At 57.1% G+C, this 15,316-nt stretch overlaps 4 annotated features.

The window, feature by feature from the left end:
* Positions 501 to 1,442: an enhancer, noted in NCBI's record as "H3K4me1 hESC enhancer chr7:579243-580184 (GRCh37/hg19 assembly coordinates)". NCBI's record gives its function as "activates a minimal SCP1, AML or CMV promoter by ChIP-STARR-seq in naive H9 embryonic stem cells {active_cell/tissue: H9 hESC(naive)}" and the evidence as "EXISTENCE:reporter gene assay evidence [ECO:0000049][PMID:30033119]".
* Positions 1,443 to 2,386: an enhancer, noted in NCBI's record as "H3K27ac-H3K4me1 hESC enhancer chr7:578299-579242 (GRCh37/hg19 assembly coordinates)". NCBI's record gives its function as "activates a minimal SCP1, AML or CMV promoter by ChIP-STARR-seq in primed H9 embryonic stem cells {active_cell/tissue: H9 hESC(primed)}" and the evidence as "EXISTENCE:reporter gene assay evidence [ECO:0000049][PMID:30033119]".
* Positions 7,469 to 8,026: an enhancer, noted in NCBI's record as "H3K4me1 hESC enhancer chr7:572659-573216 (GRCh37/hg19 assembly coordinates)". NCBI's record gives its function as "activates a minimal SCP1, AML or CMV promoter by ChIP-STARR-seq in naive H9 embryonic stem cells {active_cell/tissue: H9 hESC(naive)}" and the evidence as "EXISTENCE:reporter gene assay evidence [ECO:0000049][PMID:30033119]".
* Positions 10,165 to 10,361: a silencer, noted in NCBI's record as "fragment chr7:570324-570520 (GRCh37/hg19 assembly coordinates)". NCBI's record gives its function as "represses an EF-1alpha promoter that drives an FKBP-Casp9 reporter gene in an ReSE screen in phorbol 12-myristate 13-acetate-treated (for megakaryocytic differentiation) K562 erythroleukemia cells {active_cell/tissue: K562(+PMA)}" and the evidence as "EXISTENCE:reporter gene assay evidence [ECO:0000049][PMID:32094911]".

Genomic DNA, 15,316 nt, shown 5'->3' with positions numbered 1-15,316 from the left:
GCATTGTTTCCAGCACAGTCTGTGGTTGATGATGAGACAGCCTGCCTGGATCCAGGGGGACACAGACCCCCACTTGCTGATGTGAGAGATCAAGGGACTGGTGGTCCTGTTTTCAAACCACCACACCTTCCAGGGTCCAGGAACTCTTGACCCAGGTGAGCTCTGGCTGGGGGTCAGCAGGCATCAAGCTAGTTATGCTGCGCACAACGCCTGATTGGCTGTCTAGTCCCAGGGACAGGCTACGGCGTTCATGATACGGGCACAGGCCGGCTGGTTCCTCTACACCAGAGTGTGTGTCTGGCCACACTGTGCGCCATGCACACAGGGAACACTCAGATGTTGGATGAATGAATGTACGACCAACTCTAAACCCAGACGGGACTCTTGCAGAGGCAGCCTGGGTCAGAAGGAATGGAATCGCTGCGCGGAGGAGCCCCGGAGACCTTAGGCGGGGTGGGGAAACTGAGTCTGGGAGACAGCGGGTCTGGCTGGGGTATCAGAGCTGAGGCTGCAGCCCCGCTGGGCCTCTCACACTTTGCTCCTCCGAACTACCCGAGTGAGAAGGAGTCTTGTCATCTTGCTTTTGGTCTGATTATTGTTGCTGTCAATACAGTAAAGCAAACTTTACACGCTTTAGAAGGACGAGGTCCTGGTCATGTGCTGGTGCTCCTAGGAGCCCACGTTTATATTTTTCTGTAGGCCGAAGAAATCACAACAAGTAACTTTCATGAAGGTAGACAACCCTGGTATCAACTCTCCGCATTGATGGAGAGCAGAGAGGCTGCTCCCACCCCGAGGTGGTGACAGGCCGCTCTGGAGGGGGTGAGGCTTGGCCAGGGACGGGGTGGGGGTGGCCCCTGGGTGCTCTGGGACTGGGGCCTGGGTCCCTGAGATAGGGTGGAGGAGGCCCGTAGGGAGCAGGGGAGCAGGCTGGTTCCACGGACCCCTGCCTTCCTGCTCCCACTCTGGAATCCTCTTGTCCTTGGCTCAGGGTTGGGATCTAGCCTGGGCTTGCCCCACCAGTTTTGCCTGTCACTGGGCCATAAACCCCTCCTGTTTATGGGCCGGGCCACCACCCCACTGGAACCTGGCCAGGCTTCTCCTAGGAGGGCGGGCTCACTCCCTCTGGGAGTCCCCCCACACCACACAGGGCAGCCGCCTGGAGGCCCGATGAGGTGGCTAGAGGTGTGGGTGGCCCTGTGAGCAGTGGGCGGCACCCCTGGGGTGGTGGTGGCTGGAATTCTCAGGCCCCAGGCTCTTCCCGGGCCGTTAGGCCGAGTGCATCCAGGCAGCCCTGCACACCCCCTCACCACCCACCCCACCCCACCCCACCCCACCCCACCCCACCCCACCCCACCCCCGGCGCAGGAGGCCACGTGTCTGTTCACCTCCACGTCTAGGCTCGGAACGCCGGAGAGCAGGGGCGGGGACCCCAGTGTAGGGAGCCTGGGCCTGTGTCCGCTAAACGTGTGACGTGCACACAGAGTGTTGGTTTAATTCCGCAGACGCTCCCTGGTGCCTCCTGTGTTAGCGTTGGGGACTCGGGCCCTCAGGGAGCCCCTGTTCCAGCTGGCAGGTGGGGACTGAAGCTCCCTTGGAGTGTGTGGGCAGGTAGAGGAGGGCACCGCCCTGAGCCTCAGGAATCTACTCGCCGGCCTCAGGAGGCAGTTACACACCCGGCCCCCTCCCGGTTCTACTGGCCCCTGGGACAGGCTGCAGGGCTGGCTAGGAGTCTGGCTTCACACCGGCCCCCAGAGGTGGTGCCTCTGCCCGCAGTGAGTGGGGGCACAGGGGTTCCTCACCAAGGCTCCACCGGCGTAGCTGAGGCACTTGTCCCCAAACGGGAGCCCCCCGCCAGCTGGAAGGGTCCTTCCAAGTCCAGGGGAGGCAGACAGGACCCCCTGTGCAGGCGACAGAGGGCAACTGCTCTGAGCTCAGGGCCTGGGGAGGTGACTGTGTGGCAGGCGGGGTCCTATGTGGCAGGCAGGGTCCCGTGTGGGGAATGCTCAGAGCCCTGCTGACTCCACTGGCTTCTGGGCATTCCTGGTCTGACCTCCAGGCCGGCTCCTGGGACCCTACCAGTCTGAGGGATGGGGAAGGAAAGGGTAGGGCGGGCAACTGTGCCCGAGAGGGGACCCCAGCTCTGGACTCTGGCTGGCTCGAAACACCTTGGGGCCATGCCCATCTGTCCAGTTGGGCTGTAGAGAGGCTTGGAGGAGCCACCGGAGTGAAGGAGGGTCGCCAGCGTCTTTAAGAAACCGCAGGATGCTGACGCCCCTAGAGCCCCCATTGGGTTGGTGAGGAAGTGGGGGCCCTGGGGGGATGTGTGAGTTGTGTTCCTCTCAGCAAGTCTGGCTTCCTTGGGGGCCTAGGAGGGGACACTGAGGGCTTGCTGTCCCCATGGGGAGGTTGTAAGGTGAGACTCTCAGGAGCTCCTTCCTCCTGTCTAGGGGGTGCCCCCTTCCCCCCACCTTTCTGGGGTGACAGGCCCGGGGGGGCCCCCAGATTTTCTGAGGCCTGGGGGCTGGCCTGGCCGGCTGGGTCAGGAAGTGAAGGGCTGGCATGGGGGAGGGAGGGGAGGACTGGAAAGTGCATTCCAGGCGGGTGACACAGCCTGCGGCCTTGGGGTGGGGTGGGGCCAGGCTGGGCTGCCCTTCTCGGGAAGGTCCCTGGGATCCAGCTCCCCGAGGAGGCAGATAAGAGGGGTGGGGCCTGGCTGCATGGGAAGAGGAAATTCCAGGCCTGGGACAGCTGCTGCTGTCTTTCAAGGCTGGATTCAAATGCCACCTCCTCCTGGAAGCCGCCTCAGATTCCTCTGCAGCCCCTGGACCAGGGGCGCCCTCCTCCAGGGACCCCGGCTCCCCTGGGCTCTGGTCAGGTCAGCCCCAGGCTGGGCCCTCCACGGCCCTGATCCACCGCAGCGCACTCCTGCTGTGCACCCCTGCAGTGCACCCCAGAACCTAAGCAGGGCCTGGCCGGGCCGCCCACAACCACGGAGCTGGGGTGGGTGTGTTCCCTGCACCCAAGGCCGGCGGCCAGGCGTGGAGGGAGGGGGGCGTGTGAGTGAGGGCCACAGCCTGGTGGGGGAGTCGATTTCCTGGTGCTTCCTGTGCCCAGCGCTGTTCCCAGCCCTCTCCATGGATTAACTCACTCTCTCTATTCCTGATTTCCCTGGAGTGTAGGCAAATCAGCCCCACTTCACAGCTGAGGACGCTGAGGGCAGTCGTGGTAAGGCCAGGTCCCTGGCAGGCTGGCCCCGGAGGTGGATCAGGTCCCTCTCCCACCTGGGAGCCGGGTGGGCCGATGTCTTTTTTTGGCGGGGACCAGGAGAGTGAAAGCCTGGGAGCTGGGTTGGCCAATGTCTTTTTTGGGGGGGGGACTCTTCAGGAGGGTGAAAGCCAGGCTCACTGTCCCTGGGGGCTTCCAGCACCATGAAGGTGAGTGCCCCCTGGCCCCTGAACAAGGTCCCCCTCCACCACACCCAGGCCCCCTCCATCACACCTAGGCACCCTCCATCACACCTAGGCACCCTCCGTCGCTGCTTCCCCGGCTCGGCAAGGCTTCACGGAGCCCACTTCTTGGAAGTGAATATGGATGAGTTTAGGCCCCTGCAAGTCTCCCGAGGAGAAGCTGGGGGTGCCCAGTGGTGAGAAAACTCCCCCATGTGCCAGGCACTGGCATTGGCTCATTTCATCCTCACTGCAGCATTAAGTCAAGGGTGGCTGCCAGCCTCCAGGTGGGCCCGAGGTCCTACCTCCCCATGTCTGTGCCCTCCCATAGCCCTTCCTGCATTGACAGGGCCTGTGCTGGGGTGGGGCTTCCCAGGAGTGGTCAGAGAAGACACGGTGGCTTTGGCCTTGCTGTTTGGGCCTCTTGCTCCCCGGGATGCCAGCCGCCATGTTGTGAGGACACTCAAGCAGCTGCAGGGTGAGAAACCGACACCTAACAACCACGGCCTGGTCCACAGGATCCCGGGGAAGCCGTTTCTGAATTCCTGAACTACAGACACCGTGAAGTCATGAATTTGTTTTGTTTTTGGTTTTTGAGGCAGGGTCTCGCTCTGTTGCCCAGGCTGGAGTACAACGGTGCGATCACGGCTCACTGCAGCCTCAACCCCTGGGCCCAAGCCATCTTCCCGCCTCAGCCTCCCAAGTAGCTGAGACTATAGGCACGCACCACCACGCCTGGCTAACTTTGTAATTTTTTGTAGAAATGAGGTCTGTGTTGCCCAAGCTGGACTCAACCTCCTGAGCTCAAATGATCTCCTGCCTCGGCCTCCCAAAGTGCTGGGATCACAGGCGTGGGCCATGGTGCCTGTCATGAGGTCTTCACTGTTGGGTTGAGACTCTGCATTTGGAGGTGGTTTATTAGGCAGCAATAGAGAACCATGGCAGCAAATGTTATCATTTCTGGGATACTGAGGGTAAGCGTGGCTGTCATCCAGGAACAGGCTAGAAGGAGACTCTGGACCCCGGGCCGTCAGGGCTGAGTGACCCTCATCCGTGGTACCTCACGGCCTCTCTGGAATTCTGGGGTCTCTGTTGGACACTCTGGGTGACACCCTGTGGTTCCTGGAGACCCCTCCTGCTGGGTTTCACACACGGCCTCGCCGACGGGCCAGAAGACCACAATGGCTTTGAAAAGCAAGAGCCGGCGGTGTTGCCTCCTAGGAGCTCCCTAGGGACCAGGTGGGGCTGGCTTGGGCCCAGGCCAGACCTAGCCCCTGAGGTTTGCTAATGGAAGGTGGGTCTGGGTTCTGCCCCCATCAGCTCCTCCAACAAGAGCCCGGGCAGGGAGGACAGAATTATTTTTAACCTGTGATCTGCCAGGGAAGTGCTCTGTAACTCAGGGGAAGGCCCCAGACTTGGCAAGGGCGGTGTCTTCAGGAGCCAAGCCCCTCACCTCTCCTGCCAGGGGTTCCTTTTACCGTCTTATGGTGGATTTCCCTTTTCCTTGGGCTTTTGGGGTATCCACGGAGCAGAGCTGTGACCTGGCTGGCTTAGGGTTTTTTTTTTTTTTTTTTTTTGAGACAGTTTCACTCTCATTGCCCAGGCTGGAGTGCAGTGGCGCGATCTTGGCTCACTGCAACCTCCCCCTCCTGGGTTCAAGCGATTCTTCTGCCTCAGCCTCCCAAGTAGGTGGGATTACAGGCATGCACCACCACGCCCGGCTAATTTTGTATTTTTAGTAGAGACGTGGTTTCTCCATGTTGATCAGGCTGGTCTCGAACTCCCAACCTCAGGTGATCTGCCCGCCTCGACCTCCCAAAGTACTGGGATTACAGGGGTGAGCCACCGCACCCAGCCGGCTGGCTTAGGTTTTAAAATTAAGGCTCACTCTAGGACCGTAGGGGATCCAGGGAGAAGGCTGAAGGGAGGCCACAGTTATCCCTGGAGAAGAGGTGGGGCCAGGTGGAGGTTCTACCTGGTTAGGTTTGGGAGAGGCTCAGAGGTTGAGTCAACAGGGGTTCCCCCAGACCAGAGGCACCAGGTGAGGGGGAAGGTGCAGGCCGGGTGCCCCTTGCTGGCCTGGGTGGCTGGGAGGTGGTGTCATTGTTGCCTGGGGGACGAAGCTGGGGCGCTGTGGGTTTGGGGCTCTGTTTGGGCCATAATGAGATCAGCTTGTCTTTAGACACCCATGCAGAGGTGTTGGGCAGAGCTGGACCCGAGTCCAGTTGTCAGGACGGAGGCAGTGTTGCCCCCATGAGAAGACGGTGAAGAGTGAGCTCTGGACCCTCCAGGGTGAAGAGGAGGAGCCGGGCCAGGCATGGTGGGTCACGCCTGGCGTCTCACCACTGTGGGAGGCCGAGGCGGGAGGAACACTTGAGCCCAGGAATTCAAGACCAGCCTGGGCAACACAGTGAGACCCTAACTTTACAGAACATACAAAAATTAGCCAGGTGTGGTGGCTTGCACCTGTAGTCCCAGCTACTCGTGGGGCTGAGGTGGGAGCATCACCTACGCCTGGGAAGTGGAAATTGCAGTGAGCTGTGATTGCAGCCTGGGCAACAGAGCAAGACCCTGTCTCACAAGATAAAACAATAAAGAAAAGAGGAGCCCGGGAAGGAGTAGCCGGGGTTGACTCCAGAACACAGGGCTGGGGGTCCTGAAACAGGAGAAGGCGGCACATCGGGGGCAGGTGTGCAATGCTGCAGTGATGTCCTATCAGATAAGAGAACTGACCAGAGGGGTCAGTGCTGGCGAGGTCGTGGCGCTCTTCACAACAGGCGATCCATGGGTCGGATGGCAGTTCAGGAGTGGGCATCTCAGCCCCCTGGCCAAGGACTGCGTTCTGAGAAAGAGCTTCATTGATCTTACCGGTAGGCAGACGGGTGGTTCGCACTCTTTCTTGCTGACGAGAACCAGGGCTCTCCAGCCGCTCCTGGCAGCCGTCTTGTCACCATGAGGGAACCCAAGAGGAGGACCAAGATGTGGAGCCGGACCCTTGATCAGACCTCTCCTGAATCCCGCCTCTGGGCTTCCCAGTAAGATCCCTGACTGTGTTTGGGCTGAGTTTCTATTTTCTGGAGCTGAACGCATCAGCTGAAATAGCCAGACTGTCCAACAGGCAGGTTAAGCCCCTGGTTCACGTGTTTGTCACCCATCCTCACCTTCCAGATGTCCAGTCCCATGAGGGTGGGACTGTGTCCCTGCTGCGTCCCCTGACTAGAACGGGGTGGACACAGAGTACACAGTACGTGCAAAATAAATACTGTTGAATGCAGCCGGGCGCAGTGGCTCACCCCTGTAATCCCAGCACCTTGGGAGGCTGAGGCAGGAGGATAGCTTGAGGCCAGAAATTGGAGACCAGCTTGGGCAACTTAGCAAGATCCTGTTGCTACAAAAACTTAAAATACTGTTGAATGGAAGTGTCTTAAATCACACTATCAAAGCAAGGGGGAGAGTGAGCGAGCGAGAGAGAGAGAAATGGAGAGATGGAGAGAGACAGAGACATGGGGAGAGATGGAGAGAGAGGGAGACAGAGACCGGGGGGAGAGACCAGAACAGAAACAGCAATACAGAGATAGCGAGATGAGTGGGGAGACAGAGTGACGGGCCCTCTCTGGTAATCTCACCCAGAAGTTTACAGTCAGCAGATCTGGGGATCATTCTGGACACCACAGTTTGCTGTGTGGATTATTTTGGATTTCGAGGATGAGGGGTGCGCTGTGGTCCTGGCTGCGGCTGAGGGCTTGGAAGGTCTGGCTTGTGCTAGGTGGGATCACCGGGCACCTGCGGCTCAGGGGGCTGCCTGCTGTCCAGCCCAACAGACGAGGCTGTGAAGAGCAGGGCACTGACCGGGCTCCTGTCCCACCAGGGTGGGGCAGAATTGCTCCTGTTCACTGGGCACCTGCTGTATGCCAGGCAGTGGGTCTGTGCACCCCTCATCACACACAGCCCTCTCCCCCAGGCCAGGACGAGTGCCAGCTGCCCTGGGCTACGCACCATGTCTGTGCTGAGCCTGTTGCGGTGTTCCTGTAAACAGCCCTCACTAGCAGCCACGTGGGCTGCATTGCGCCTTATCACCTTTAGGCCACCGGGGCTCAGAGACGAAAGCAACCCATCCAAGGTGCACAGCAGCCAGCGGCGGAGCTGCCACCTCCCTCCTTCCCTCCACCCACGTCTGGCACCCCGCGGGACTGGACGTCCCGGGTGCTGGGGGAAGCCTGGTTTCTGCCATTTCCACGCAGGGGCAGGGGGATGCTATCCCACCAGAGGGGAGTCTGTGCCACAGCCCAGAGGTGCACCTTGGGTCACAGCGAGGCGAGGATAAGATTATCTGATGTATTTTGTTCTCTCCTGTCCAGAAAAACAGCCCCAGGCCAAAATGGCTTCTCCAGTGGTCCAGACAGGGAGGGACCTCAGAGCTCACCCACTGCTCACCCGAATCCTCGCCCAATGGCCAGGGGGTGAGACCCCAAGGAGGAAGAGTGTGCCGAGGTCACTCAGAGGGGAGGTTTGAGCCCCAGGTCTCTCCCACCCCACGCCTCAGTGCTCCAGCTAAGTGCTCGCCAGCTATGTCTGGGGTTACAGTTGCCAGGGGTCACAGGTCGCCCAGCCAGGACAGTGCGGGAGCTGCAGTTGGGTGAGGACAGGGAAGTCCCCTCAGGCAGGCCTGGGAAGGGAGGAGCGTGGTGTTCTCTTCTGCCTGGAGGGCCGGGGGCCATTTCTCATTGGTGACCCTAGGGGTCCTGGGTGCTGTGTCCAGATCTGGCCAAGCAGAGCATTGTCCCCAACCATGGTCACTGACCTGGGGCAGCACGAGCCCAGACTTAGCCAGTGAGATGCAGCTTCGCAGCTCTGAGTCTGGGGCAGTGAGTGTGAGGCTGAGTGTCAGTCTGCTGTCCTGCTGCTGTGAAAGGGAGACGAGGTCCCAGTGCCTGATCCAGCCACTCCAAGAGTCTGGGGCAGCGAGGGTGTTAGTCTGCTTTCCTGCCGCCGTGAAAGGGAGATGAGGGCAGGAGACAGCTCTGAAGACACGGGCCGAGGGCCCTGATCCAGCCATGCCTGAAACTGCTCACTCCTGAGCTCAACAGGTACATAGACCAATGCATTCTCTTGCTTTCTTGGGCCAGAATGCATTGGGTTCTTGTCATTACAGCCAAGGGTCATGATGTCTAAGGATAGACCCAGGTGGGGTGGGCTGTGGCTTTCTCTCTTCCTGTCTGGAAACTCACAGGTGGGAGATGACGGGCAGCTGGATCCTCCTGCAGGAGGCTAAGCAGTCAGGTCACCAGCCCCCAACGCAGAACTTCAGCAAGGACACAGGAGTTCCCCCGCCTGGCCTCACCCCCTGAGCTCCCAGGTCAGGGCCACCATGAGCGTGGACGTCAATGGGTCTCCTCAGCCGCAAACTGGAGCTCGATCTTGCACCTGCAGGGCCTACTGGGGAGTCCTGCTGGTTTAGGACACCTGCGCACGTCAGGTTCTGTTTGGGGGTCAGAGAGATGGTGTCTCCATGTCCCACTGGTTGGCACCATGCTGTACGTATGCAGTCCCGTCTGCTGCAGTGATGTGAGCGTGGTCCTGACGGGCGTTGGGGTGGGAGGACCAGCTTCCCCCTGCTCTCTGCGTGGGCTGAGGGGAAAGACCAGGCAGCCATGGAGTGGGCACGGGGCTGGGGACTTCCCTCTCTGACTCTCACCTCCTCTCTCTCTCACCTTCTCTTGCTCTTTTACTTCCTTTCTCTCTCACCCCCTCTCCTCTCTGTCTCACCCCCAACCCTGTGGCTTACTTCCCCCATCTCCTCCTCTCTGTTTCACCCTCCGCCTCGTGGCTCCCCTGTCCCCCTCACCTCCCCTGTCCCCCTCACCTCCCCTGTCCCCCTCACCTCCCCTGTCCCCCTCACCTCCCCTGTCCCCCTCACCTCCCCTGTCCCCCTCACCTCCCCTGTCCCCCTCACCTCCCCTGTCTCCTCCTCTCTCACCCCACCCTGGGGCTCACCTCCTCCCTCACCTCCTCTCTCTGTTTCACCCCCCACCTCGTGGCTCACCTCCCTGCTCACCTCCCTGCTCACCTCCTTTTCCTCCTCTTTCCTATTCTCCTTCAGTTTACTGTCTCCCTCCCACTTCTCAGCTCTTTATTCCTCAGCATGGTTTGGTGCCTACCCCAGGGTGTTCGGAGTCTGTTTCACAAGAAAGCCATTTGCCCCCACACCTCACTTGGCCCCCAAGGGCAGTGTGGGTGAAGCAGTCTCTCTCAGCCAGGAAGAGGAGTCACCCAGACCCTCCAGCCTCCCCTTGAGGCCAGCCCACCGAGCCACGGCACCGTCACAGGACAGCCACGCCCCCAACCAGCCCACCCGCTGAGCACTGCCCCCCACCCCCTGCCACCCTGGCCCCCGCCCCCCGCCCCCCGCCCCTGCCCCTGCCCCGCCTGCCCCTGCCCGGCCCCACTCCCAGGCTTGGCGGAACAGGGACCAGGCTGGTGGCAAGTCTGCAGGGGCCGGGAGGGTCTTCAGCACGGCTTCTGTTTTTCCCATCACAGCAGCACTGGAGTGGCAGTCATCGCATCCCAGACGGGTAAACTGAGGCTCAGGGCGTCAGCGTGAGTTGCTTGAGGTCACACAGTCGGCAGGAGGTCAACTCTAAAGCCCAGCTCTGCTGGCCCAGTGGCGGGGGCTGGCCTGTGTGGCCAGGGGCGTCCCCAGGCAGCACTGTCCGTTCAGAGGGCACCTGGGGGCCAGAGCCAGGCAGGACCCGCCAGGCACACAGCCCCATCAGAGATATAGCTTTTCATGCCCCAGTGCCTCTTATAAAACAGAAGCAACAGCATTTCTGGGGCCAGGCGCCGTGACTCACGCCTGTAATCCCAACACTTCAGGAGGCTGAGGCGGGCAGATCATTAGGTCAGGAGTTCGAGACCATCCTGGCTAACATGGTGAAACCCTGTCTCTACTGAAAAACACAAAAAAATTAGCCGGGCGTGGTGGCGGACGCCTGTAGTCCCAGCTACTCGGGAGGCTGAGGCAGGAGAATGGCGTGAACCCGGGAGGTAGAGGTTGCAGTGAGCCGAGATTGCACCACTGCACTCCAGCCTGGGTGACAGAGCGAGACTGCGTCTCAAAACAAAAACAGAAACAAAAAAACCCCAGAAGCAACAGTGATTCTTAGAGAAGTAACATTAACACATCACAGAGCATCCGGACGCTGGGTGTGGAGGAAACGTGACAAGCAGCCCCAAGCTCTGACGCCTCAGCGGGCAGCGTCGTGTCGCGCCCTGAGGACCGGGCAGCGCCGGGCGAGGGCTTGGAGAAGAACAGGGCGTGGAAGCTATAAGCCCGGTGCTAGGAGGCTGTCTTTCTGTCCACCCATAAATGGAGCCGCGATTTCCAACAGCGAGAGGAGGGGTAAGAACACGAGGGCCGTTTGCGCCTGGGATTTGATTTGATTTGATTTATTTTCTGGCATCTTGATCTCGGAGCACCTAGGATCTTAGGTTGTTCCTAGTTGCTGTTTTAAATCCTGGTGCTCTGAGCCCTTGAAGCAAACGTGTCGTTTTCTTAGGCTGGGTGCCCGATGTGGGATTACAGGGTCAGGGGCCGCGGCCACACTGGTGGCTCCTGGTGCCAAATTGCCGCCAGGTTGACCTGCAACTTCCGGAAGCTCAGAAAGTAGCCTGTGCTCCCCAGGCCTCTCCCTCGGGGCGGGGGTGGAGGCTGGGGGGGGGCATGGTTGGTGATGAAGGAAAAGGTCCTCCTGTGTTTCTTCCCAGCTGTGATTCTCCTGCACATCATCAGTGGTTTTCTGAGCATGAGCAGAGACCCCGATATATAAATGTGCTTTAAAAATGTGGCAAATATGTTGTTCTGTACATGCAGATAAGAACACAGGGACACTGGAAATTAAGTGTAACGCAAAACTAAAGGATTCCATTTGTTTAGATTTTAAATTTTTTACGAGATCTTTCGATTGTCTACACTGTCAAACCCAACGGTCTTTTTTTTAAACTTAAAACATGAAAGGCCGTGTGCGGTGGCTCACACCTGTAATCCCAGCACTTTGGGAGGCCGAGGCAGGCGGGTCACCTGAGGTCAGGAGTTCCAGACCAGCCTGACCAACATGGAGAAAGCCCATCTCTACTAAAAATACAAAATTAGCCAGGTGTGGCGGCGGGCACCTGTAATCCCAGCTACTTGGGAGGCTGAGGCAGGAGAATCACTTGAACCTGGGAAGTGGAGGTTGCAGTGAGCCGAGATCGTGCCACTGCACTCCAGCCTGGGCAACAAGAGTGAAACTCCATCTCAAAAAATAAAATAAAAAGGTTTGGAGAGCCTTTTAAAAATAATAAAACATGAAACGTAACACTCCTTCTAGTCTTTTATTTGGGGTTTGCTCTGTGCTTTCTAAGTTCTGAACGTTCTCTCCATTTTAGAAGTTTGATAAACTATGGGAAAACTAGGAAATAGGAATTAGCTTTTTTCCACCACTTTTTGTTTTGAAAACTTCAATTTTACAGAAAAGTCATAAGAATAATACAATGAACAGCTGTATACCCCTCACCTCATTCACCTGTTGTCCCCATTTTATCTCTCATTTCTATCTATATCTATCTCTATATTTATCTACCTATATCTATCACTCTACCATCCATCCATCCATCTACTCATCCATCCATCCATCCATCATATATCCATTCATCTTCTGTCCATCTATCCATCCATCATCTATCCATCCATCATCTATCAATCCCTCCACCCATCTACCCATGTATCACCTATCCATCCATCCATCATCTGTCTATTCATTATCACCTATCCATCCATCCATCATGTATCTATATCCATCAATCCATCTTCTATCCATTCATCCACCCATCTATCCATCATGTATCCATCCCTCCATTGTCTATCCATCCATTCATCCATCATGTGTCTGTCCATCCATCATCCACCCATCCATCATCTATCAATCTCTCCATCATGTATCCATCCATCCATTATCCATCCATCCATCATCTGTCTATTCATCCATCATCCATCCATCATCTACCCATCTGTCCATCATCTATTCCGTCATCACCTATCCATCTGTAATCCCTCCATTCATTTATGCGTCCATTCATCTACCATGTATCCATTCATCCATTCATCATCTATCCATCCATCATCCATCATCTATCCATCCATTATCTATCCATCCATCCATCTTTCTATTCATCCATCCATCATCTACCCATCTGTCCATCATCTATTCCTTCATCACCTATCCATCCATAATCCATCCATCCATTCATTCATCTATGCATCCATTCATCCACCATGTATCCATCCATCCATTCATTATCTATCCATCCCTCCATCAATCATCTATCTATTCATCATTTGTCTGTCCATCATCTATATTCCCCTCCCAACCATTTGAAAATAAGCTGCAAACATCATGACACTTTACCCCAACTGCCATGGCATCACCCAAGAACAAGGAGGTCCTCCTGCACCACCATCACACCATCAGCACACCCAAAGGACTCAACAGTGATACAATAAAGTAATCTAATATTTCCCCAGTGGTCCCAATCAGCTTTTGAGCTGCCTGCTGGTTTGAATGTGGGAGTCCATCAAGAATGGAACATGGCATTGAGTTGTCAGGTCTTTTAAGTTCCTGTTAGTCTAGAACGGTCGCCCTCTGGTGCTTTTCTCATGGCAATGATGTTTTTGCAGGTCAGGCCAGGTGTTAAGTGGAATGTGTCTCAGTCTGGGTTGTCTCCTTGTTTCCTTGAGGTCCGATCAGGGCTAAACATCTTTGGCAGGAATGTGGCAGGGGATGTGTGCCTATCCTTGCTTCACGTGGTACAAGTTTATCCCTGAACCTTTTAATATATATATATAAACTTAATTTTTAATACATCTGAAGTTAGTGTGGGGTAAAATGAGGATTTCATCAGATTTTTTTTTTTTTAGAACAGCTTCAACTGCATTTAATCCACAATCCTTTCAATGTCTTTTAAAATTCTTCATTTACAACAGAGCCTTTTCTGGGGTCTCTGGTCACATGGGTGCCACACTGTTCTGATTATTGTGGCTCTAAGATATGGTTGGCCTTGTGGTGGCTCACGCCTGTAATCCCAGCACTTTAGGAGGCCAAGACAGGCAGATCACTTGAGGCCAGGAGTTCAAGGCCAGCCTGGCCAACATGGCAAAACCTTGTTTCTACTAAAAATACAAAAATTAGCCAGGCGTGGTGGCACCCTCCTGTAGTCCCAGCTACTCGGGAGGTTGAGGTGGGAGAATCGCTTGAACCTGGGAGGTGGGCATTGCAGTGAGCTGAGATCGTGCCCCTGCATTCCAGCCTGGGTGACAGAGAGATACCCTGTCTCAAATGAATAAATAAAAGTACAGTATGCTTAACCTTCCTCCTCCCCCTCCCACCCACATACTTTCTTTGTTCTAGAAGTTTCTGTGCTTCCCATGCATACATGCATGTGGCTTTCTGGCTGCCCCTCTCTCTGGCCGCGACAGGCCACTTCCTTTCTCTGCCCCATGAGCTCGGGTCCCCTCCACCTCAGCCCTGCTGGTGAAGGTCAGATTTGTGCTTCTGCTCAAGGGAGGTGCTGGTCACCCCGATTTGGGGTCTTTTCCATGGGGCAGGGCCGGCGTCTCATCCTCTTCCCTCAGCAGAGGCCGAGGAAGGTCAGGGGCGCGGGGGCTTGGCCTGGCTCCTTCGCCTCTCCCGATGTCTAACCTGCACCTTTAGACAGCGGTGAGGCCCTCAAAACCGGATGGAATGAGGGACCACAGGCTGCTCCCAACCATCCACGGTCACGAGAGGAACAGAGGCTGTGGGCAGCGCCCAGGGGAAGCGCTCTGGGGTTGGCCTGGGCTTTAACCGGGTGACCCCAGTGACCTGCCGGATGACTCAGGCCCACGCCTGCCCCACCTTGGAACTCGGAATTCACATCCAACATGCAGGAACTTGGGCCTTGAGTCTGAAGCCCTTGGGGATGGGAGGGGTTTGCGGCTTTGGCCTGGGAGGGGCAGTGGTCACTAAAGTTCAGGCTCCCCAATGCCCTCACTCCCTAGCCCCGCTCGGCCTGGCTGCTTCTCAAAGCTCAGTCTGCCCAGCCAAAACATCTACTCAGAAAACGTCTCTTCCCAGCCAGGCCTCCCCCTGCAGGGGTTGGAGAGAGGAAGGGAGAGGACACGGCGAGGCGGGGAGGGAAGTGGAGAGCAGAGGCCCTTGAGGACCTGTCCTCTCCCACTCCCTTCCAGCTGCCCTGGGGGGTGACTCTGTTTCTACGGGAGCCATCTGGGTCTCTATTTCTGTGTCTCCACGCAGAGTCCGCAGCTCCCAGGGAAACAGGCCCCGGAGGACAGGGGTCTGGGTTCAAATGTCACCACCACCACTACTTGTAATGTCAGCCTCCTCACCTGTAAAATGCAGGTGTTGGATGTGATGGCCTTAATTTCTAGGTGAGATCAAGATGCTTCCCTGGTTTTCTCTGACTGCACAGGACTGGAGATGCCCCCTGAGAAGCCCAGCTGGCTGCCAACGGGAGCTCTGGAACAGGGAAGGATCTGTGGGCACGGTGGAGAGACGGGGCTGACTCAGCTTCCGAGTTGCTTTCTTGCTGTTTTAAGAGCCAGACCCAGTGGAGGCAAGGAGCATAGCCCGAAATAGCGACGGCGGGAGTGTTTACACCCCAGCTATTGGCAAGTGCTAAGAATTGAGTTGTCTGCAGCTGCCAGGAACCTGCTGGGCGTTTCGGAAGCCTTACCTCGTGCACTCTTCTTACGGTCTCCACTGCAGCCATCTGGAAGCCCAGCCACCCTCATATGTCACCCAGATGACTGCACACCTCCCTGTCCTCCTCCAGCC

Source organism: Homo sapiens, chromosome 7 (genome assembly GCF_000001405.40).
Source record: "Homo sapiens chromosome 7, GRCh38.p14 Primary Assembly".
NCBI lineage: Eukaryota > Metazoa > Chordata > Mammalia > Primates > Hominidae > Homo > Homo sapiens.
The sequence above is the reverse complement of the archived record's forward strand: the minus strand, read 5'-3'. Positions and strand labels throughout refer to the sequence as shown.